Genomic DNA, 24,946 nt, shown 5'->3' with positions numbered 1-24,946 from the left:
AGGAGATCTGCTGGACTCAGGTGTCAGCCACCGCGCCCGGATTCTTACCATAATACTTTCATCTTTTGTTTTGTTTTGTTACTGTACACTTTTATGGTAAGAAGTCATGACACAGTAATAAAGAGAGACGGGAGCAGGTGAAGAGGAAACGCTTCCTTTCTATTTTCTCAGGCAGGGGCACTCCAGGTCTTCACATCACTGCAAGGGCGACAGAGTAGACTTAGAGTCAAGAAAGGCAAGGGCTAGAGCCCAGGAGGCGGAGGGCGACAACGGGCGGAACCCCAGTGGGCAGAGCCTGGCCCCAGCCCTGGCGGCTCCTCCGCTTCTCCCACATGTGAGGAAAGAGCGCGGCCCCTGCGCCCCTGCGGCACACGCTGTGAAACAACCCTCCTGGGTGTGGCTCGGCTTCTCGGCTGTCCAAACAGCCTGAAGAAAAGCCCCATGCATGCTCTGGCCTCGTCTCAGCAGTTCCAGGCCATCCTTCTCGAGGGGCGGGAGCTGACCGGCATGAACCGGCCGCAGCGAGCCGCTCGAGGCCTGGTTGGCTTCGAGCTCAGGAGGGACGCACGAGCCTGCCGCTTCCGGCTCTGGCGGGGGGGGCACGTGCCCCGTCCCGTTGCCCCGGCGACCGCGGCGGTTTGTTCTCAGGCCCCGGCCTTTCTCACCGTGCGACGCCCCAACCCGCCGCTCCGCCGCGGTGGTACGCTCCAGGCCGCCAGGCCGCGAGGCCCACCGAGCGGACGCCAGTGGATGACCCGCGGCGGGGGAGGAGGAGGTGACGGCCTGGGAGCCGGAGGCGGGCCTGGGCCGGCGTTTCGGGCGAGGGGGGCACCTCGCCGCGAAGGAAGGGGCCTTCCCACGCTTCCCGCCCTGCGCCGGGCTTCTGTGGCTTTAGTTTCCTCGTTGCCGCCCAGCGCTCCACTTCTGTCCCACTCTCGACTTCCGCTCCTCCACGCTCCTTTGCCCCTTTCTGCCCCTCAGCACCCCCAAGACCCTGAGGCCGCTACCCCCCTTCCCGCCGCCCCCAGGGACCCCCTTGGCAATTGGGGAGGCCCCTTCCCCGACGCCAACAACACGCCTTTCTCCCTCACCCAGATACCATCAGCAAAATGCCAGACGTCAAGGAGAGTGTGCCCCCGAAATATCCTGGCGACTCAGAGGGCAGGTCCTGTAAGCCCGAAACCTCAGGACCCCCCCAGGAAGACAAGAGCGGCTCCGAGGACCCCCCTCCCTGTAGGTCCAGCTCGGCAGTCCCTGTGGCCCCCTAGGGGGTGCTTAGTGTGGGGGGTCCGCAGGCCCCCCCATCCCCCAAGTTTTCTCTCTTCACTATCCCTCTCTCGTTTGTCTTTCTCCGTTTCTCCCCCACCCGCCTTTACTTACAGGCCCGAGGGCAGAGGTCTTCAAAGAGTTTTTGGTTCTAGAGAAAGAAGTGACCCAAGCGTGATTACTTGAATCTGACAAGATTTGAGACTGAGTCGGTTCAAAGCCCTCCTTTGTATTGTATTTTGAATATGTAGGGGGGATTGGCAGATAGATCTGGGATTGATTTTAAAGAACCCAAATGATCCCAGACGGGAATTGGGTTTTCTCAGCGCTTTGCTAACTCAAGAAATAGTAGTGTCCTGGGCCCAGTCTCTAGCTCGGTTCTGTAGTGGGTGTTCTTTTGTGTTCTTGTTGGGGCACAAGGTCTTCTCCGCGCTTCGTGGTAGGTCCAGTCTCACTGGGACTCATGCTGTATTTCTCTTAATCTCCAGAGAACGTAACTAGTCATCAAACTGAGGAGCTGTCCGTGTGCAACAACTCAAGATAAAATTCTTGACTATTGAAATGCGAAAAATTAGATTGAGGCTTTGCGGCTGAATTAGATTGGTTTTTCTTGTGGCCACATGAGGTCGCTGCTGGTTAACTGAATGGCACCAAAAGGCATATTGGGGTCATTTCCAACAGCTATGAACCTGAGGTAGGATGAAAAATCCGTTTTTTTGTACACACAATTTAAGTTTTTGAGGTGTCTATTTAAATGAGTCCATATATAAAACAACTCTCAGTAAAATGAATAATCAAATTCCTTTTTAAAAAAATTTGAAATTTTGTGTATTAGGTTGACTTGGTTGTTATATTACTTGAAAATGTCTTTGTCCTTGGGATCTGGATTTTTAAAATCTATTTCGGTTAAATTTTATCTCTAATTTCTCTTTGAGCTCTCCTCATTCCTGAATTTTAGAGCTGTTTTGGAATTGCTTAGTGCTGTGTAACTTTTGAGCAACAGAAGTCTTATCAAGGCAGGCTATGAACTTTGATTTGTTGTAGTTGGAAAGTGTTTCTGTGTATATTTCCCTCCGTCCCTCAATAAGCTGCTGTAGTTCAATCCCCTTCTGAAGATTTTCTCTTAGCTCTCATTTAGCATTAGTGAATTAGCAGTGAGTCTGTTTACATATTTGATTGTGTTTTGCCATTTTGGCTGAAACTAAAGACTTCAGAGAGGCTGCAGAAATAAAGGGAACCTCAAGCGTCCACTTAAGGTCCAGTTCACCTTCATGTTTACCTAAGCAGAGACTCAGTGGATTTTTGGTAAAGGTCTACAATCTCCTTAACTTTTTATTTTTAAATATCGTAAGTCTGCTGGAAAGTAAAAAATAATACAGTGAATGCCCACAGTGTTAATATTCTGCCGTATTGCTTTTTCTCTCTCCCTGTATTTCCCCCTCCTGCCTTTTAAAATTGCAACGTCTTGACTTCTTTTAATTTTTGTTGTTGTTGATGGGTTTTTTTTTTTTTATAAACTAGCTGTTTTTTGAGACGGAGTCTCTGTCACCCAGGCTAGAGTGCAATGGTGCGATCTCGGCTCACTGCAACCTCCACCTCCTGGGTTCAAGCGATTCTCCTGCCTTAGCCTCCTGAGTAGCTGGGATTATAAGCATGTGCCACCATGCCCAGCTAATTTTTGTATTTTTAGGAGAGACGGGGTTTCACCATGTCGGCCAGGCTGGTCTCGAACTCCTGACCTCAGGTGATCTGCCTGCCTTAGCCTCCCAAAGTGCTGGGATTATAGGCAAGAGCCACAGCACCTGGCCTTGACTTCTTTTAATTTTTAAATTTTTGTGGGTACATAGTAGGTGTGTATATTTATCAGGTATATGGGATATTTTGATACAGGCATACAATGTGTAATAATCACATCAGGGTAAATGCGGTACACATCATCTCAAGGATTTATCCTTTGTGTTACAAACAATCCAATTATACTCTTTTAGTTATTTTAAAATGTGCAACTAAATTATTGTTGACTACAGTCATTCTGTTCTCTCAAATACTAGATCTTATTCATTCTATTTTTTGTACCCATTAACCATCTGTGCTTCCCTGCAACCCCCCAACCCCCCACCCAACTACCCTTCCCAGCCTCTGGTTATCTGTCATTCTATTCTCTATCTACATGAGTTCAATTGTTTTAATTTTTAGCTCCCACAAATAAGTGAGAACATGTGAAGTTTTTCTTTCTGTGCCTGGCTTAATTCACTTAACATAATGACCTCCTGTTCCATCTGCGTTGTTGCGGATAACAAGATCTTGTGTTGTTTTTTTGTTTTTGGCTGAATAGCACTCCATTGTGTATATCTACCATTTGTCTGTTGATGGACACAGGTTGCTTCCAAATCTTGGCTATCATAAATAGTGCTGAAATAAACATGGGAGTGCAGATATCTCTTCGATAGATTGATTTCCTTTCTTTTGGGTATATACCCAGCAGTGGGATTGCTGGATCATGTGGTAGCTCTATTTTTAGGTTTTTGAGGAACCTCCAAACTATTCTCCATAGTGGCTGTACTAATTTACATTCCCACCAACAGTGTATGAGGGTTCCCTTTCCTCCACATCCTCACCAGCGTTTGTTATTGCCTGAGTTTTGGATAAAAGCCATTTTAACTGGGGTGAGATACAAAGTCATGACTTTACCTCTAAATATTTCATCATGTATCTAAGAACAGGGGCATTCTCCTGTGTAACTTTTCTACAGTAACCTTATTTTTCCTTTTTACATTTTCAAATCTTTTTACTATAGAAAAATTATACATTTATGAAATAGAATGACTAATACAATGAGCCCCCATTTATCCATCATCCAGCTTCAACAATGATCAACTCGTGGCCAATCTTTGTTCATCTACATCTCCTCCACATCTTGGAGCCAAATAATTTTCTGTGAAAAATCATGATGCTGCATCAAAAGAGAGTGATAAAATATGATTTATTGTATACGGCTGCATTTTATACACCACGTAATCATTGTAACTACCATATATACCTATTATGTGTGAATGCTATCAGCTGTACTATAGGTCTGCACTAAAAACTTAGAACAGTGGTTGCCAAATACCCATGCTGGTCTGTGACAAAATTCTTAGCACTATTTAGTGAAATGAAATCATAAAGATATTGTAATGAGTTTTCCTAAAGTTAATTCCATTTAAGGGACTGCTGTTTATTTTGACAATATTTCCTTTCTGGTTTTTTTCAGAGGTTAAGCTATCTTTTCTTTGATGAAATGATGATTTTGGTGGTGGTAGATGATTTTTATTTGCTTGTTTCACTGTCCATACTAGGCAAAACAAAAAGTTGGCAAGTTGTTTTCAGTTGCTTAAAATATTTTCAGAAATTTTATTAGTCTGTGAATTCCTAAAATCTGAGAACTACCGCTTTAGAAGACCAAATGACTTTGGCACTATTCAGTAACATCTGAGTATTATCTGTAGGGAGAGTTTAGCTTTCATCATGTATAGCATCAGAGACAGGAAAAGGAACGTGGAACCTTAATACTTAGATAAATGTTTATTTTTGCAAATTTCAAATTATTGTTTCTTTGCTGCTATAAATACGATTTTACTTTTTAAGAGAAAAGTTTTTCATCTGTTTCACTTCCTGCTTTTTTTTATAAACTAGCTATTTGTTAAAAACTTAGAACAGTGGTTGCCAAATACCCATGCTGGTCTGTGACAAAATTCTTAGCACTATTTAGTGAAATGAAATCATAAAGATATTGTAATGAGTTTTCCTAAAGTTAATTCCATTTAAGGGACTGCTGTTTATTTTGACAATATTTCCTTTCTGGTTTTTTTCAGAGGTTAAGCTATCTTTTCTTTGATGAAATGATGATTTTGGTGGTGGTAGATGATTTTTATTTGCTTGTTTCACTGTCCATACTAGGCAAAACAAAAAGTTGGCAAGTTGTTTTCAGTTGCTTAAAATATTTTCAGAAATTTTATTAGTCTGTGAATTCCTAAAATCTGAGAACTACCGCTTTAGAAGACCAAATGACTTTGGCACTATTCAGTAACATCTGAGTATTATCTGTAGGGAGAGTTTAGCTTTCATCATGTATAGCATCAGAGACAGGAAAAGGAACGTGGAACCTTAATACTTAGATGAATGTTTATTTTTGCAAATTTCAAATTATTGTTTCTTTGCTGCTATAAATACGATTTTACTTTTTAAGAGAAAAGTTTTTCATCTGTTTCACTTCCTGCTTTTTTTTATAAACTAGCTATTTGTCCTGCCTTCCCCCAGTGTTAGACTACTATTCTGAAAGTTTCTAGCACTGTCGTGGGGCATAGAGTGCAGAAAACATAAATCACTAGAATAGTTGGGTGAGTCTGTGTAAGACCAGTTTGATTAATCTAAATTTGGGGCCTACTAGATTGAGTGAATCTCTGAATAAAATAGAAATTCAGACTTGCATGGGCTCATTGTTGTCCACCATCAGTTCTTTCTGTCACAGGTCTGACAGAAACCGTTAATGAAGTTTCCAAGCTGAGCAACAAGATTGGGATGAATTGTGATTACTACATGGAAGAGAAGGTTTTACCTCCAAGCAGGTATAGACTCTTCTTCTTTCTTCATGTTGCTCATCCTGGCTTAGGTACTTAGCACTGATGGCTTCAGATCAGACTTGAAGCATTTTTATTTAATGATACAATGAGTATTTAAACTTGAGAGGTCTCAACAACTTAAACAGAAGAGTACTAAGTTGTAATTATTAGTACCAAAGAAGGCCAAGAAGCAAATGTTACTTAGTCAACAAATAAACCAAAGCAACACTTGTTGGAATAAATATGGTGGATTTCAGATCTCTGACAAACTTGGAGGAAGCAGCCTGTAGTACTATCTGCTGCTGCATAACAAATTACCCCAAAATTTAGCAGCTTAAAATAACATTTCATTTTTCCGTTTTGGTTGTTTTTATTTTTTTGGAGGCAGGGTCTCACTCTGTTACCTAGGCAGGTATGCAGTAGTATGGTCATGGCCTCCTGGGCTCAAGTGATCCTCCTACCTCATTTTTCGATTTTTTTTTTTTTTTTTTTAGAGATGGGGTCTCACTGTGTTGCCCAGGGTTGTCTTGAACTCCTAGGCTCAAGCAGTCCTCCCACCTCAGCTTCCCAAAGTGCTGGGATTACAGGCATGAGCCACTGTGCCCAGCAAAATAATATTCATTATGTCACAGTTTCTGTGGATGAGAGATATGGGCATGGTTTAACTGTATACCTCGGGCTTATAGTCTTTCATGAGTTGTAGTCAGTCTGCTGACTCTTGGCCAGAGGCTCCCTCAATTTGCCACATGGAATTTACTATAGGGCAGCTATATATAATGTACTATATATTATATACTAAACATGGTGTATATATGTATACTAAACATGGCAGCTGGCTTTCCTCCAAGGGAGAGAACAAGAGTGTGTGTGAGAGATGGTGCCCATGACAGAAGCCAGTCTTTTTGTTACCTGATCTCAGAAGTGACATCCCATTGTTTCTGCTACATTCTTTTTTTTTTTTTTTTGAGATGGAGTTTTGCTCTTGTTGCCCAGGCTGGAGTGCAATGGCGCGATCTCGGCTCACTGCAACCTCTGCCTCCCAGGTTCAAGCAATTATCCTGCCTCAGCCTCCCAAGTAGCTGGGATTACAGGCATGCACCACCACGCCTAGCTAATTTTGTATTTTTAGTGGAGATGGGGTTTCTCCATGTTGGTCAGTCTGGTCTCGAACACCCAACCTCAGGTGATCCGCCTTGTCCTCCCAAAGTGCTGGCATTACAGGCGTGAGCCACCGTACCCGGCCCGCTTCTGCTACATTCTGTTTGCTATAAATGAGTCATTACATCCTGCCCACCCTCAAGGGAAGAGGTTTCCACAAAGATGTGAATACAGTTGGCCCTTATATCTGTGGGCTCTGCATCCCGTGAATTCAACCAAGTGCATATAGAAAATATTAGAAAAATAAAAAATAACACAATAATAAAAAATACAAAATAATACAAAATTAAAAACCAATATGGTATAACAACTACTTACATAGCGTTTACATTGAATTAGATATTTAAGTAATCTAGGGATGATTTAAAGTTTATGGGGCCAGGCGCAGTGGCTCACGCCTGTAATCCTAGCACTTTGGGAGGCAAAGGCGGGTGGATCACGAGGTCAAGAGATCAAGACCATCCTGGCCAACATGGTGAAACCCTGTCTCTACTGAGAATACAAAAATTAGCCAGGCATGGTGGTGCGAGCCTGTAGTCTCAGCTACTCAGGAGGCTGAGGCAGGAGAATTGCTTGAACCCAGGAGGCAGAGGTTGCAGTGAGCCAAGATCACGCCACTGCACTCCAGCCTGTTTTGAGACTCCATCTCAAAACAAAACCAAAAAAAAAAAAAAAAAAAAAGCTTATGGGTGGATGTGCATAGGTTATATGCGATACTATGCCATTTTGTATCAGGGACTTGAGCATCCATGAATTTCCGAGGGGGATCCTGGAACCAATCCCTCTTGGATACCAAGGGATGACTGTATCAGGAAGCAGAGATCTTTGGGGTTATCTTGTCAGCTGCCTACCATATAGCTCCTATCAGCTACCCTTTTAAGTGGCTTCATACTAAACAGGCACAGATAAAGATTTTCTGTTAGTGGTGTTTTGACTCTTGGGATTTTTTTTCCCCCAGCTTCATAACTCAGCTTATTTATCAAAATCTGAACACTGTTGATAAAGAATGCTTCCATACCCACACCAGGCTTTATTTGTATTATTCTTAGTTATATTGACATTGTGGTAAAGAAGAACCATTCAGTAAGTATGAATTGAATTGGCTCTGCTGGTTTATTGACAATTAAGTGGGTAAATTTCAGTGTCAGATTTTTTTTTTTTTCTGAGATGAAATCTCGCTTTGTCGCCAAGCTGGGGTGTGCAGTGGCGCGATCTCAGCTTGCTGCAACCTCAGCCTCCCGGGTTCAAGCGATTCTCTTGCCTCAGCCTCCTGAGTAGCTGGGACTACAGGTGTGCGCCACCATGCCCAGTTAATTTTTGTATTTTTAGCAGAGGTGGGGTTTCACCATGTTGGCCAGGGTGGTCTCGATCTCTTGACCTCGTGATCCACCCGCCTTGGCCTCCCAAAGTGCCAGGATTACAGGCGTGAGCCACCACACCTGGCCCAGATTTTATATTTTAAAACAGTTCTTGGTCAGGCACAGTGGCTCATGCCTGTAATCCCGGCACTTTGGGAGGCTGAGGTGGGAGGATCGCTTGAGGTCAAGAGTTCAAGACTAACCTGGGCAACATAGTGAGACCTCGTCTCTACAAAAAAAAATTTTTTTTTAATTAGCAAAATGTGGTGGTGCACGCCTGTAGTCCTAGCTATGCAGGAGACTGGGGTGGAAGGATTACTTGAGCCTGGGAGGTCAAGGCTGCAGTAAGCTGTGATAGTGCTACTGCACTCCAGCCCAGGCAACAGAGCAAGACTCTGTCTCTAAAAAAAAAGATTGTAAATATTGTATCACAGATGAGGCTGAGAAAAGAAAAAACAATTGAAAAATAAAATTGTTCTAATTTTCCACCAAAAGACAAATAATAACAACTCGTGATTCATTTGCGTCCTTAAATGCTTTTGTCAGAGGGCCATTGTGGGGTATCTGTTACTAAAGGGCCTTTCTCCATCACATGTTGCTCCTCTGGTCTTCATGCTTCTTTGATTTGTTCTTGACTGATGTTAGCAAGTTTCCATGCTGGGAACAGGTTTTCACCAAACTCAGGTCTCTCAGCTTCTCTCTCACTGTTTAGAGATGTTTGTTGCTCACAGGGGAGGAGAGAAAACTGAAACTGGGAGAATGAGGTCTGTGATAGGGTGGTGGTGAGGGAGTTGCAGGCGTATGGAGGGATAGAGGGGTATGGCAGGTAGAAGAAACGAGAGAGGGAGAAATGAAGCCGGAGAAATAGTAGTATTCAGAACTGGGTTTCCAGGTATGGTGATATAAAAAATTATGTCGGGAAAAAGGCTGAAATTGTTTGAGGTTACTCATTATTGGCAGTTGGCTTTACCTTAGGTTCATAGGATGATGTTAATTACAGTTGTAGGCTCCTAAGGGAAATTTCATTCTCAGATATTCATTTACCAGGCATTTATTGAGTCCTTATTATGTCACAGGCAAAATGCTGGGTGCTAAGGATAGAGATATAGATAAGGCAGTTTTTGCTGTCAAGAAACTTTTGTAGGGGAGACAGTTGAATAATAGAAAATGACTGATTAGACTGATAAGTTCACTTGTAGCTATGCATATATAGAGTTTAATGAGAGTGTTCAGCTACCTGTGGAAGATCAGGGAAGATTTGCCTACAGAGGAAGGTTAGGCCTATGAAGACTTGAGTCTTGGATGTTGAATAAGTGCTTTCCAGGTGGTCTTGGTGTGAAAGGTTGCACCAGGTAGTGGTGACAACATGTCAGAGGCAGAGAATGGTGGTAGAACATGGTATGTTCTTTACAAGCGACTTGCAATGGCTGAGCCCAAGGTGTTACAAGGTAGAAGAAAATACATTGGAAAGAGAGGCCAGAGCAGTATGATATAAGGTAACATAAGCCATTTATCTTGCTGGTGATGGGGGAGCCCCCGAAGGACTTTAAATAAGCATTACATCATGTTGAATATGGCATCTGAGAAACAGCATTGTTTTTAGAGTGAATTGGTGGCAGTGTGGAAAACAGATTATAAAGGAACAAGACTAGAGGCAGGGAGACTAGTTAATTGTAAGAGATGATGGTAGGAGGGGGCCAGGCACGGTGGTTCATCCCTGTAATCCCAGCATTTTGGGAGGCCGAGGCGAGTGGATCACTTGCAACTAGGAGTTGGAGACCAGCCTGGCCAACATGGCAAAACTCTGTCTGTACTAAACATTTTTTAAAAATGAGGCAGCTGTAAACCCCGCTGCTCAGGAGGACTTTTCCAGGAAGTCATATTGTTGGAATCATACAGTATGGACCCTGTTCCGATTAGTTGTTTCACTTAGTAATTTCATTTAAGTTTCCTTTATGTTTTTTTGTGGCTTGATGGCTTATTTTTCTTTTCTTTTTCATTGTGTTTTTTTGTTTGTTTGTTTGTTTTTGAGATGGAGTTTTGCTGTGTCACCCAGGCTGGAGTGCGGTGGCACAATCTCGGCTCACTGCAACCTCCGCCTCTCAGTTTCAAGTGATTCTCCTGCCTCAGCCTCCCAAGTAGCTGGGATTATAGGTGTGTGCCACCACACCCTGCTAATATTTGTATTTTTAGCAGAGACAGGGTTTTGCCATATTGGCCAGGCCGGTCTCGAACTCCTGGCCTCAGGTGATCCGCCCGCCTCGGCCCCCCAAAGTGCTGGGATTATAGGCATGAGCCACCGCGCCCGGCCTTCTTTTTGTTTTGAGATGGAGTCTCGCTCTGTTGCCCAGGCTGGAGTGTAGTGGCACAATCTTGGCTCACTGCAACCTCTGCCTCCTGGGTTCAAGCGATTCTCCTGCCTCAGCCTCCTGTGTAGCTGGGATTACAGACGTACACCACTACACCCAGCTAATTTTTGTATTTTTAGTAGAGATAGGTTTTCACCATGTTGGTCAGGCTGGTCTTGAACCCCTGACCTCAAGTAATCCACCTGCCTCAGCCTCCCAAATCATTTTTTTATCATTGAATAATATTCCATTTTATGGGCAGTTTATTTATCAGTTGAAGGACATTTTTGTTGCTTCTAAGTTTTGGCACTTATGAATAAAGCTGCTATAAACATTTGTGTGCAGGTTTTCGTGTGAACATAAGCTTTCAACTCATTTTGGTATATACCCAGGAGCGTGATAGCCAGATCATATGTAAGAGTATATTTACTTTTGTAAGAAACTGCCCAGCTGCCTTCCAAACTGGTTGTACCATTTACATCTGACCAGCAGTGAATGTGAGTTCCTATTTCTCTATATCCTGGTCAGCCATTAGTGTTGTCAGTTTTCTGATTTTGGCCATTCTAATAGGTGTCATATAGCGGTGTCTTTTTTTTTTCTTTTTGTTGTTTTAATTTGCAACTCCCAAATGACAAATGATGTTGAGCGTCTTCTCATATACTTATTTGCCATCTGAACATCCTCTTTGGTGAGATGTCTGTTAAGGTCTTTGGCCTATTTTTTAATGGTTGTTCATTTTCCTATTGTTGCGTTTTAAGAGTTCTTTGTATGTTTTGGATATATATCCTTATCAGATATATATTTTTCAAAGATTGTTTCCTAGTGTGTGTCTTGTTTTTTTGTTCTCTTAACAGTGTCTTTCACAGAGCAGAAGTTTTTAATTTTAATGAAGTCCAACTTAGCAATTTTTTCTTTTGTGGATTATGTTTTTGGCATTGTATCTAAAAGGTCATCACCAAACTCAAGGTTACCTATATTTCCTCCTATGTTATCTTCTACAAGTTTTACAGTTTTGTATTTTACAAGTAGGTCTGTGATCCATTTTGAGTTAACTTTTGTGAAGAGTTTAAGGCTTGTGTTTAGATTCTTTATTTTTTTGTATTTAGATATCTAGTTGTTCCAACATTATTTGTTGAAAGACCCTCATTTCTAAATTGAATTGCCTTGGCTGGGTGCAGTGGCTCACGTCTGTAATCTCAGCACTTTGGAAGGCAGAGGCAAGTGGATTTCTTGAGCCCTGGAGTTCAAGACCAGCCCGAGCAACATAGCGGGACCCCCATCTCTACTAAAAATAAAAAAATAAAAAAATTAGCTGGCACGGTGGCTCATGCCTGTGGTCCCAGCTACTCAGGAGGCAGGGGCAAGAGATTTGCTTGCGCGTGGGAGGTTGAGGCTTCAGTGAGCCTTGATTGTGCCATCGCATTCCAACCTGAGCAACAGAGTGAGACCCTGTCTCAAAAAATAAAATAAAACAAATTTCCTTTGCTCCTTGTATTTTTTTCAAGGTGAAAAAAAAGACTTCTTTCTGGCTTCCATTACTATATAGATGGTAGTGCCACTGAAATTGGGAATACAAGAGGAGCAGGTTTGGAGGAGGAAGATAATGAATTTAGTTTTAGATACGCTGATTTGGAAATATCTGTGGACCTTTGGTATTTTCAAAGAAGCAATATCCTTTCCTAGATTTCAGGAGTATAAGAAAATGAAAGATCATTTAGCTCAATGCTATGTGTATACACAAATGGAAATCAAGTTATCTAGGCTAGATGCACAGTCAGTGCTAAAAGTCAGCCTGACTTCTCTCCATTCAGGGTTCTTTCTACTGCAGAGAGAGGGCTGCTCTGGAACCACAAGGAGCCCTTCTGAGAGGTTTTGCCATTGCCCTTGAAATACAAATCTAACCCTAGCTTGTTCAACTCTGCTGCAGTTCCAACATAGTTCCTGGCCTTTCCCTGTTATTATAATGGCCTTTTACCATATCAAATTCAGTTTGGGGTTTAGGAGGTTATGACACTGTAACTGTTTTTGGGTTGAGAGAGTAATCTGCTCATTTAACCCTCTTATAGTCTGGAAGGCAAGGTCAAGGAGACAGTGCACAATGCCTTTTGGGACCATCTTAAAGAGCAACTATCAGCAACTCCCCCTGACTTCAGCTGTGCTCTTGAACTTCTGAAAGAAATTAAAGAGGTGAGTGACCTTCCATTTGTAAATGTAAAGTTTCTAGACATCTCCAGCTCATTGGAGTGTCAGTGGCTAGCAAATCTTAACTGAACATGGTCCATGAATCAGTCAGAGACTAAGCAATAGACAGAAATCATACAGTAATTTTAGCAGGGAGGGTTTAATATAAAAATTATTATAACAGAGAGTAGGAGAAATGAGGGCTTGGCTAGTAAGAGTAAGGAAAACTAAAGAATCCTTGAATATCAGATAAAAGGGCATCTATCATACCCTTAGGGCTGAGAGAGGCCAACCAAGGACCTCATTTGAGAGGGCATAGCTATGCCATGAGACGTTACTGGCCTGTGTATGCTGCTGACCACAGTGCACTGCAGGAACCAAGCACTGGAGAAGCTATTCATGCTGCAGGAGCCAAGTACTGCAGGAGCCTGCTGAGTGAACATACCAGAACCGGGAATAAAAGCTCTTGCCTTTGCAATGTCTTTCTAGTATGTGGCAGACATACCGTAAGGTGACCCACAATGTTCTGCACCCTTGTATAATCTTCTCCCCTTGAGTGGATGAGATTTGCAACTTCTAAGCAGTACGGCAAAAGTGATGGGATATAACTCCCATGATTACATTTCATCATGTAATACTCTGTCTTAGGAGACTGGAGGGAGAGATTCTCCTGCTGGCCCTGAAGAAGCAAACAGCTGTGTTGTGAACTGCCTATCGAGAGGGCCACATAGCAAGGAGCTGCAGGTGGCTTCTAGGACCCGGGGTTAGCATCCAGACAATAGCCAGTAAGAAGCTGGGGCCCTCAAGTATACAGTTGTGAGGAAATGAATTCTGCCAACAATCTGAATGAGCTTGGAAACGGAATCTTTCCCAGTCATGTTTCCAAATGAGAATGCAGCCCAGCTAACACTTTGCTTGCAGACTTGTGAGACCCTGAACAGAGGACCCAGCTAAACTGCGTCTGTACTTCTGACCCACAGTAACTGAGATCATAAATGTGTGTTCTTATAAGCTGCTAGGATTATGGCAGTATGTTACACAGCACAGAAAACTAAATAACACTTTCTGCCGGTGAAGCTTAAAATGTGCTATCTGGCAAAGGAAAGATATGGAAAGGACTTAGTTCCATTTTCACAGAGCAAAGAACAATGGATTTGGATCTGTGAGGCAATATATTGATAAATGGCACAGTCCACCCCTTCGGCTACTCAGTTTCCACATGCGCTCTTCTATACACATTTGAATTCCTGAAAAGAACTCTTACAAGACAGATAGCTATTTATTATTTATCCTCCCCCAAAATGAGGAGACATGGCCCAAATAGTTATTGTATCCATCACTGGCCGCTCCTCAAATTCAGCCAGTTTCACTGACTATTGTGTTACCTAAAGGCTAAATCATAAAATTTAACTTCTAACAACTTGTATATAAAATAACAATGGAAAGAAAGAGGAAGAACAAAATGTTGGCATATATAAATAAACATACATATAATAAGCAAAGATAAAATTTATAGTCCTTGTTTCCATAACTGGTCACAAGGCTATAGTTGTTATCTATGGCTTCCTTCTTCCACGATTCATTCATTCCATATTTCCCTTGTCCTTGGCCAGAACTTCAGCTAGTTGGGGTTCTTTATCTGGTGCAGTGACCCAAACCTTCATTGCCAAAGAGTCTGAGACATTTTGCTTTGTTTGTTGTGGTTTTCCATTAACCTTTAATATTGAGCTTGGAAGTACTAAGAGGCAACTCAGAGAATCTCCTGAGTTTCAGGCATGGTCTTTCTTACCCCCATTGTGTGGCCACAATCCAATTTCTCATTGGTACTCAGGAGCAAGTACGGCATCCAGTACAGTAACTCCTTTTTTTACCCTTTTGGTTCAGTGGTATAAGGAGCCCCCAATGGTCAGTTTCATCTTCTGTTTCATTGGAACCAATGCAAGTATTTCACACAAATCAGCAGACCTCAAAGTTGGCAGGATGGGAAACAAAAATCCTGCAAGTGGGTTATCAGGTGTGCTAGTAAGAGGAAGCAGTCCTACTTCTACTGCTTGATTCCTGGACCCATGTATTCTGGCATTAGGGGACAGCACCATAGAATGGTCTTTGAAGCCAGGCACAGTGGCTCACACCTGTAATCTCAACACTCTGGGAGGCTCAGGTGGGCAGAATGCTTGAGTCTAGGAATTTGAGGCCAGCTTGGGTAATGTGGTGAAACCCATCTCTACAAAAAATAGAAAAATTAACTGGGTGTGGTGGTACATGCCTCTATTCCCAGCTACTCAGGAGACTGACACGGAAGGATTGCTGGAGCCTGAGAGGCACAGGTTGCAGTGAGCCATGATTGTGTCACTGTGCCCCAACCTGGGCAACAGAGCAAAACCCTGTCTCAAAAAAAAAAAAAAAAAAAAAAAAAAGTCTTTGATTCAAAGCATATATTGCATCCTGTAAGACCAATTCCCTTCCTTTCAGGTATTGTTGCTCACCTAATGCTGTAATTGAGTCTAAAATAAGCCATTCTACTTTTTAGTTAGGGCCAGCTGATTCTCAGTGAAAGCTTTTTGGTCAGACCAGTTAATTTAGTAGGTATGAATTCACTGCATTTCCTTTGCTGTGAAATGAGTTCCTTGAGCAGATGCAATGCAATGGAGTAGGCAAAGACCCAGGACAGCTGATAAGGCATTCTGTGATTATCTGGATGCTGGTACTGACAGAAGCATGGCAAACAGGGAAGACAACTCCATATCCAGAATATGTGTCTATCCCAGTAAGGATGAATCTCGCCCTCTCTAAACTGTTAGAGGTCCAGTGAAATCATCTGCCATAAGATGGCTGACTGATCCTCCCTGGGGAATGGGCCATATTGGGGGCTTTAAAAAATTTATTTAATTTTTTTTAGGATTTGTTTTTGTTGTGGCAAAATATTCATAACAAAATTTACTATTTTTTAGTGTTACAGTTCACTGGCATTAAGTATATTTACAATATAACCATCACCACTATCCATTTCCAGAACCTTTGAATCTTCCCTAACAGAAATTTTGTACTCATTAAACAATAATTTCCCTTTCCCCTCTCCCACTAGCACCTGTACTTTCTGTCTCTATGAATTTGACTACTCTAGGTACTTATAAATGGAATACAATATTTGTCCTTTTAGTTTTGGACTTGTTTAACTTAGTGTAATGTTTTAAAGGTCCATCCATATTGTAGCATATATCAGAATGTAATTCCTTTTTATGGCTGAATAATATTCTTATTATATGGATAGAATACATTTTGTTCATACATCTGTTGATGGACGTTTAGGTTCTTTATGCCTTTTGGCTATTGTAAATAATGCTGCTGTAAACCTTGTGTACAAGTATATATTTGAGTCCCTGCTTTTAATTTTTCTGGGTATATACCTAAAGTTGGAATTGTTGGATCCTATGGTAATTCTATGTTTAACTTTTTGAGGAACTGCCAAACTGTTTTCTGTTGTAGCCACACCATTTTATATTCCTACCAGCAATGTACCAGGGTTCCAATTTCTCCACATCCTAGCCAGCATTTGCTGTTTTCCATTTTTGGTAATGGCCATTCTAATGGGTGTGAAGTGGTATCTCATTGACTTGCATTTCTCTTAATGGCTAGTGATATTGAGCATCTGTTCGTGTGTTTGTTGGCTATTTGTACATCTTCTTCAAAGAAATGTTTACTCAGGTACTTTGTCCATTTTTAAATTGGATTGTCTTTTATTGAATTTTATGCTTTTGGTGTCAAATCCTGCCAAATCCTAGATCATGAATATTTACACCTATGTTTTCTCCAAAGAGTTTTGTAGTTTTAGCTCTTATGTTTAGGTCCTTTTTTTCTTTTTTCTTTCTTTTTTTTTTTTTTTTGAGACAGAGTCTTGCTCTGTCACCCAGGCTGTAGTGCAGTGGTGCGATCTTGGCCACTGCAATCTCTGCCTCCCTGGTTCAAGCTATTCTCCCACCTCAGCCTCCCAAGTAGTAGCTGGATTACAAGTGTGCACTATCACGCCCGGCTAATTTTTTGTATTTTTAGTAGAGATGGGGTTTCACCATTTTGCTCAGGCTGGTCTCAAACTCCTGACCTCAGGTGATCCGCCTGCCTCGACCTCCCAAAGTGCTGGGATTACAGACGTGAGCCACTACCATTTTGAATTAATATATATATATATTTTTTATTATACTTTAAGTTTTAGGGTACATGTGCACAACTGAATTAATATTTTTATATGGGGGTAAGGTAAAGGTCCAACTTTGTTCTTTTGCATGTGAATATCCTGTTTTCCCAGCACCATTTGTTGAAAAGACTGTCCTTTCCCCATTGGTTCTTGGCATTGTTGTTGAAAATCATTTGACCTTATATATCCAGGTTTTATTTATCAGCTCTCTATTCTTTTGGTCTGTGTATCTGTTCTTATTACCAGTATATGCTTGGTCTCTTATAAGCCATTTTCATTTGATAATAGATTGCTGCTGTGCATGTCCAGTCTTGTAGCTACGTAAGTTAGACAATACCTAATTCCTGATGGGAAGCTTAGGCCACATGGTTACCCAGTGTTCTATAGTAAGGTGTTTACTTTCTACCAAGGCCCAAGAAGTTGTTTCTCAAAAGGTGAATAATTATCATTAAAGAAGGAATAGATTTGCTCCCAATTCCTAAAGGTCCATGTGTGGTTCCCTTATTGGTGCTTGCAAGACATTCTGTACAGCACCCTTATTTGCTATGGACACTTAAAGTGTCATTGGATCTGCAGGATCATAAGGCCCAAATGGTAGAGTGGCTTGTACTACAGTCTAAACTTGCTGCAGAGCCTACTCTTGCTCTAGTTAGTTAGCACTCCCCCATCCCCCACGACATATGGGTAACCTCGAGTGATTCTAAATAAATCAAAATCACTCAAATGAATGTCAAAGTAGCAAACACAAATGTGGTGCATGTTGCCTCAAAAATCCGAAAAGGGGCTGGCTGTGGTGGCTCAGGCCTGTAATTCTAGCACTTTGAGAGGCCAAGGAGGGTAAGTTTCTTGAGCCCAGGAGTTCAAGACCAGCAGGGACAACACAGCAAGACCTCCATCTCTAGAAAAAAAAAAATCTTTTTAATTAGCTGGGCATGGTGGTCATACCTGTAGTTCCAGCTACTTAGGAGGTTGAGGTGGGAGGATCACTTGAGCCCAGGAGGTTGAGGCTGCAGTGAGCTGTGATCATGCTACTACACTCCAGCCTGGGCAACAGAGTGAGACTCTGTCTCAAAAGAATCCAAAAAGGAGGACCAGGTGTAGTGGCTTATGATTATAATCCCAGCACTTTGGGAGGCCAAGGCAGGAGGATAGATTGAGACCAGGAATTTGAGGCCAGCCTGGCAACACAGCGAGACCCCATCTCTCCAAAAAAAAAAAAAAAAAGAAAGAAAACTAAGCTGGACATGGTGACATGTGCCTGTAGTCCTAGCTACTCAGGAGGCTGAGGTGGGAGGATCACTTGGGCTCAGGAGTTGGAGGCCATGATCATGCCACTGCACTTCAGCCTGAGCAACAGATTGAAACTCTGTCTCAAAAGAAAAAAAATATTATAAAAGGCCTACTAAGTGTTATGCCTTTTTTTTAATGGTGGGTGGTTCAGGTACAGCAATTTGTCCTTCACCTTGGAGGATATCACTTGAAAAGCTCCTGACCACTGAAACTCTAGAAACTTTACTGAGGTGACAGGCCCCTGAATTTTTGTGGAGATCATCTGCTATCCTCAAGTTTGCATGTGTTTAAGGCATCTAAAGTACTTGAAACTTGCTGGTCATCAAACCTCACTCAACTTTTTACCAGTCAGAGCCAATCAAGAGGCAGAAACCATGCAGTAATTTGAACAAAGAAGCTTCCACAATGCAGGAGCTTGCTGAGAGGAGCATACCAGAGCCAAGAAGGAAGGCCCTTTTCTCTTGCAGTTTCTTTTTACCACCCTCTTTTGACAAAAATCTAACATTGTGTCAGCTAGCAAAGGAAAAATAATTCAAGGGCCCAGCTCCGTTTTTGCAGAGTAGGCACTGAAGGGTAGATTTGGAGCTGAGAGGCTCCAAATTGGTAACTGGCAGAGTTTGGCAATTAAAGTAGATAGTATGGAGCAACTTTGATTTTATTTGTTTAACATGAAGGTAAACAGTTGAGATCTTGCTATGACAACACCATATTCTATTCAATTAAATATTCATTGAATCCTATACCCTAGGCCCCCACCATGTCCTGTGTGTTACAGAGGCAGGGGATGAATAAGAGTCCCTGTTTACCATGAACTTATTTTGGGGGTTAATAGGCTATTTCAGTGACTTGCAACAGCTCCTATGCCTATTTCATCCTTGCCCTTTGAAGTAAAATAATCTAAAAAATGCCTCCCTTTTAAAGTTAAGAGACGTCATCACCATGTGATGGTGGGTATTTTATATTTGTTGTACCCCGTATGTCTTTTTACCACACTCCTTGATTTTATTCATCTCTATATCTCATTCTGCCTAGAAAATGATATACTATTCCTGTAATTGATCCCCTTGATCCTTGAATTGTCACCGGCCTCTAAACAAAGATAAATAATATTCCATGGGAAATTTAGGGACCCAACTTCTTGATCCTTAAAAAACATAGGCTGGTATGTCTTTAGCTAAAGGGATTGCCCATTGGATAAAGTTTGGGGATCTAAACAGATCAACTCCTTTGACTTTCTTTCCTGGGCAGATCTTGCTATCACTGCTATTACCACGCCAGAACCGCCTGAGAATTGAGATTGAAGAAGCTCTGGACATGGACTTGCTCAAGCAGGAGGCAGAACATGGGGCCCTGAAAGTCCTCTATCTCTCTAAGTACGTTCTCAACATGATGGCTTTGCTGTGTGCACCAGTTCGAGATGAAGCAGTGCAGAAACTAGAAAACATTACGGATCCTGTTTGGCTACTGAGGTATGAAACTTGATACTGCCCCCAAAAACCTGCTTTAGCCCCTGAGCCCGGAAAAGCTGGGCCAGACCTAGATTATAGCCATCGTCTTGACCAGCTCTTCCCTGCTAAAGACCTGACTAACACCCTTTTTCTCCCCTCTGGTCAATTCACTCTTCTTTTCCAAAGATGGCCCCACAGGGCCTTTTGGTTATCCTTAGCTTGATTGGGCCCCCCCTCTGTAATACCATAAGACACTACAGTACATACTTCTTTCTTTTAAGGAGTTAAAACATCCCTTTCCCAGGTTTTTTTTTTTCTTTCTTTTTTTTTGAGATGGAGTTTCACTCTTGTTGCCCAGGTACAGCAGTGAGATCTCAGCTCACTGCAACCTGTGCCTCCTGGGTTCAAGCGATTCTCCTGCCTCAGCCTCCCGAGTAGCTGGGACTACAGGTGCACACCACCACACCTGGCTAACTTTTGTATTTTTAATAGAGACAAAGTTTCACCATGTTGGCCAGGCTGGTCTCAAACTCCTGACCTCAGGTGATTCACCCACCTCGGCCTCCCAAAGTGCTGGGATTACAGGCATGAGCGACCTTGCCCAGCCCTCGGGCCCTTTCCCAGGTTTTCTCTTCTTTCGGTTCACACACTATGAGGAGACAGTGATGAGTGGTCATCCGTATTTCACAACTCTAGGAACCAAGACCCAGAAAGTTTAAAAAAAAAAAAAAAAAAGCAGTTGGTCCAGTGAGTCAGAAATAGCATCACCTATAATCCTACTTCCTGAAGAGAATTGTTAGCATGCTGGTGTATTTCTTTCCACTGACTACCCTTTTTAAGAGGCAACAGAATGACCATAGTGAAGGAGATCTAGACTGAAGGCTTCAAGGTCCAGAGACTTAGCTGTTCCCAATTCTGCCACTGACTCACCCTGGGTATTGGGTTCTGGGCCACATGTTATCTTCTGAAAATGTAGGAGGTAAGACTAAGTTAGTCTTAAGCCCCTCCTAACTCTAAAATACAGTGATTTAATGACTCCTTGGGTGGGTTTCTAGCTTAGTAGTATAAATATTCTCTTTCCCCCTGTGTCAGAGGGATCTTCCAGGTTCTGGGCCGGATGAAAATGGACATGGTGAACTACACTATCCAGAGCCTTCAACCCCACCTGCAGGAACATTCCATTCAGTATGAACGGGCTAAATTCCAGGAACTCCTCAATAAGCAGCCTAGTATGTATATAATGTGAGGGCAGGAGTGGGAAAGGTATTACCTTGGGTCTGACTTTTATAATGTTAGAGAGTACTCTATCTCTTTTTAGGAATAGAAAGTTGCTTATTAGGTGAAGGGAGGGAGAAGGAACATTTATCTAAGACAGAAAGACCCTCAAAGCATTTATTTATTGACCAGGAGTATACTTGAAAAGAACCTTGGTCTTGAAGCCTCAGAGATGAAGATGCTAAAGATGCTTACACACTCCCTTACCTGTCATAGGTCTCCTTAATCACACCACCAAATGGCTGACCCAAGCAGCAGGAGACCTCACCATGTCACCTCCGACTTGCCCAGACACTTCTGACTCCTCCAGTGTGGCTGGCCCCTCTCCCAATGAGGCAGCCAACAACCCAGAGCCCCTCAGCCCCACAATGGTGCTGTGTCAGGGCTTCTTGAACCTCCTTCTCTGGGACCTTGAAAATGAAGAGTTCCCTGAGGTAGGAATGTCTGGGGGCATTGCCTTGTTTTGTGTTCAGGGCTTCCATCGGGACTTCCCCTGACAGCCTGTTCTTCCCTGGTTCCCAGACCCTGCTGATGGACAGAACCCGGCTGCAGGAGCTGAAGTCCCAGTTGCACCAGTTAACCGTCATGGCCTCAGTCTTGCTGGTGGCCAGTAGTTTCTCCGGCAGTGTTTTGTTTGGCTCACCCCAATTTGTAGATAAACTGAAACGCATAACCAAATCCTTGTTGGAAGACTTTCACTCCAGGTGAGCTGCATAGTTACTTTTTAGAGTAGAAGGTGATATGTGGTATTTAGAACATAGGCAGGTAATGAACGATTGCTTACTGTCTACCACAAACCACAGAAAGGCCCTGTGGAACCATCTACAAAGATTGTTGGTTTCTTTCCATAAGTGGTCATGAGGGTGTAACAAAAAAAAACCTTTCTTCCAAAAAGGGTGTGGAAGATAGTTTGCTGCAAAAGGGTCATTATCTAGTTGAGTGGTGACTGTGGGCTGGTATCATCACATATATCCAGGACTTGGTCAGTCGGTCAGCAATATTTATTGAACATCCCGCTGTGTGCAGGCCATCACACCAAAGGAAAAAGAGGAATCAGAAGGCCAGGTTGTAGTTATAACTGATGAGGTGGGACAGATGATTCTGGAAAATGCCTAAGAAAGTCTTAAACATATATATATAAAAATAAAGTCCATGGGACTAAAGAATGCTGAGTGGATCCAAGAGCACAACTAAATACTTTTCCAGAGTTGATTTTATCATTTACCTTGTTTGCTAAGAAGTAGAACACAGTGCCACATATAGAGAATAGCTGGTGTCTTGAGGGTTACAGTGAGGACATTGTACCTACCCACTGGGCCCTATAGCCTGCCAGGGGCTGGGGTTTAGGGGTGGAGAGGGTGGCTGACATTCTCCCTCAAGTGGGCCTGGCATCTGGTATACAGCATGCTGGGCCCTGGGCCTATGCCAGGGTTACCTGGTGGGTGCCAGCTTACTTTCTTTCATGGTCTAGGCCTGAGGAAGCTATACTGACTGTGAGTGAACAGGTATCTCAGGAAATCCATCAAAGCCTCAAGAATATGGGCCTTGTTGCTCTAAGCAGTGATAATACAGCATCTCTAATGGGACAGCTCCAGAACATTGCCAAGAAGGAGAACTGTGTCTGCAGTGTTATTGGTGAGTATGCTTGTGGGGTAGTAAGAATGGTGAGGGAAGAGATAGATCCCAACCGTGGAACCCCAACCTTTAACAACATGAAGCATGGTCATTAGGTACGTCATTGTTTAGCCTTGATTTTTTTCAAAATGCTGGGTTGAAATCATATCCGTCTCAGTTTAAAGACTAACTGTGGTTCTCAGGATGATTTGCACCCAGAAATTCATGACTTCTAGGTGTGGGATATGTCCAGCCGACCTGGTTAAGTCACTTGGGCCTACAGGTCATTCTCTGATGGCACCCAAGAAATCTGACATTCCCCCATCTCCCAACAAGAAACTAATGCTGAATTTAGCTGGAAGACATGTTCCTATAGTGGGGAATCCCCTACCCTCATGCTGGAGTGGAGGCCATGAACTTGGCCAGCCTGCTCCTAACCTTAGCCATCTGAAGGATCAGTCTAAGTTCCTCCTGTTATGTCAAACACTCACTAGGATCTAACTGATGGCTACTTAAACAATCTTTTGAATAATCTGAAATTTACTAACACACTAGTTTTTTATATTTGTCCTTGAGAGCAAGATAGCAGCCCCCTTTCCAAACAAAACAAATTTCATTATCTCTAGGTAGGGGGGCAGGTTGGTACATATCTGTTAACTTAGAACATGGGTGAGTAGAGTGCAGGGGGAATTTTCTCCCTGAAATCTGTTTGCCTTTTCCCTTATCAGTGTCTTTTCCTGCTCACAGATCAGCGGATCCATTTGTTTCTCAAATGCTGTTTGGTTCTTGGTGTGCAGCGGTCTCTATTAGACCTTCCTGGAGGCCTTACTCTCATTGAAGCAGAACTGGCAGAACTGGGCCAAAAGTTTGTCAACTTGACACATCACAATCAGCAGGTGTTTGGTCCCTACTACACTGAGATCCTAAAAACCCTCATTTCCCCAGCCCAGGCACTGGAAACAAAAGTGGAGTCTGTTTGATAGCGTCGGCTCAGAGCCCTGGTACCTTGGACCCAAGAGGAGGCCCATCATCTTCCTGGAGTAACATCACCAGTGACCAGCAGACAGTGAGCTTCTATCCCAGGCCCTGCAGCCAGTACACCAAGGCTGTAGGGATCAAGCATGTAAACACCAACTGGTCCATACCCATTCATTAATAAACTTCTTAAGTGCAAGAAATCCTCCATTTTTCCTGTGCTGCAGCTGAGGCCAAGCCCTAATGACTTCAGCCCTCAACTAGCTGAGAAGCCAGCAAGCCCTCAGTTTTCCCCTCTCTGGCTATGTGTACCTTTCAACATATAGAGCTGAACAGCCAAGATACCCAGGTGCTAGCCTTATTTTCTTTAAGGGTAAAGCATTACTCCTGGGGAGCTCTTAGACCTCTGGAATTATCCAAATTGTGAATATAAGGGTTTCTTTTGGAAGCCTTTGTTTTGTCCAGTTCACCTCAGGAGAGGACATGGTTTAGGGAAGTTAGTTCATTTCTAGGACCAAATTTCCCTAAAGGTTTCAGAGAATGCAACAAGAAGTCAAGGGATATTAAGAGCCTTAGTTTCCTCTTCTGTTGCATGGTCTGAAGCAATATGCATACCCGGGGCTGGATGAAAATGGATATTGGCTACAAGCAAGCATTCTGTTGAGGACAAGTTCAGAGTTCATGGGACCTCTCTCTCAAGTTATCCAGAGTTCAGACTTGGACAGTTAGGTCTGTGACTCACTTGTATCAAGTTTATTCTGGTCCTGTTCTCTAGCCCAGTAAGTCTCCTTTCCCTCATCTCTAAGCTTAGAACACCCGGTTTTTCCAGGCAGAGGTGATGTGGGCATTCAGAGGTGGAGCAGCCTCCATCCTTCTGGCTTCTCCATTCTGGGCAGTTGTGGTTGTAAGCTGTTGTTGGCATCACAAATAAGAGAGGTTCTAGGAAGGATTTGGGCTTGTCTCCTGAGATTGTAGAGACCAACTCATTTTCAGGCTGACTGCAGCAGACCAGCTCCAACCTAGTATGGCTGAAATGAAGAAAATGTTCAGTTCAGATTTAGAAAATGGAAATTCAATTATGTGTTCTCAAGGCAAGGTGAAGAAAAACAATGTTCTCATCATTTTAGGTGATGGAAGTTGCTGAGTGTTAACACACCTAATCTAGGAAGAACAACAGAAGGGGGATTTGAGTTCCATTAGGCCCAGTGTTTCCTTCTAATTGATTTCCTTTTTTAGAGGG

At 42.8% G+C, this 24,946-nt stretch overlaps 1 protein-coding gene across 25 annotated transcripts; it reads left to right on the top strand.

Moving 5' to 3' along the window:
* The first annotated feature begins 640 nt into the window (after positions 1-640).
* TCP11 (t-complex 11) lies at positions 641-23,905 on the top strand. Of its 25 annotated transcripts, none has more exons than NM_001366331.2 (11): positions 641-775; positions 1,096-1,233; positions 5,762-5,873; positions 12,798-12,918; positions 19,643-19,863; positions 20,683-20,821; positions 20,935-21,071; positions 21,334-21,551; positions 21,640-21,821; positions 22,589-22,752; positions 23,479-23,905. In NM_001366331.2, exons 7-11 carry the CDS (start codon positions 20,960-20,962, stop codon positions 23,709-23,711), a joined length of 909 nt encoding a protein of 302 aa, NP_001353260.1. In that variant the 5' UTR covers positions 641-775; positions 1,096-1,233; positions 5,762-5,873; positions 12,798-12,918; positions 19,643-19,863; positions 20,683-20,821; positions 20,935-20,959; the 3' UTR covers positions 23,712-23,905. The 25 variants fall into 25 exon arrangements, 23 of the variants coding, with proteins under 23 accessions (NP_001353260.1, NP_001248750.1, NP_001248749.1 ...); NM_001261821.2 differs by lacking the exon at positions 20,683-20,821 and adding an exon at positions 1,755-1,960 and having other exon boundaries at positions 5,777-5,873; NM_001261820.2 differs by lacking the exon at positions 20,683-20,821 and adding an exon at positions 1,755-1,960.
* The last annotated feature ends 1,041 nt before the right edge of the window (positions 23,906-24,946 follow it).

This window comes from Homo sapiens, chromosome 6 (assembly GCF_000001405.40).
Source record: "Homo sapiens chromosome 6, GRCh38.p14 Primary Assembly".
Lineage (NCBI taxonomy): Eukaryota > Metazoa > Chordata > Mammalia > Primates > Hominidae > Homo > Homo sapiens.
The sequence above is the reverse complement of the archived record's forward strand: the minus strand, read 5'-3'. Positions and strand labels throughout refer to the sequence as shown.

What these genes read in the sequence shown, in the direction of transcription:
- TCP11 (NM_001370687.1), top strand. Translation starts at nt 1,110, where the DNA reads ATGCCAGACGTCAAGGAGAGTGTGCCCCCGAAATATCCTGGCGACTCA. An exon ending in AAGGTTTTACCTCCAAGCAG is followed by an intron (nt 5,874 to 12,797) that starts GTATAGACTCTT and finishes ACCCTCTTATAG; the next exon opens with TCTGGAAGGCAAGGTCAAGG. An exon ending in GATCCTGTTTGGCTACTGAG is followed by an intron (nt 19,864 to 20,934) that starts GTATGAAACTTG and finishes CCCCTGTGTCAG; the next exon opens with AGGGATCTTCCAGGTTCTGG.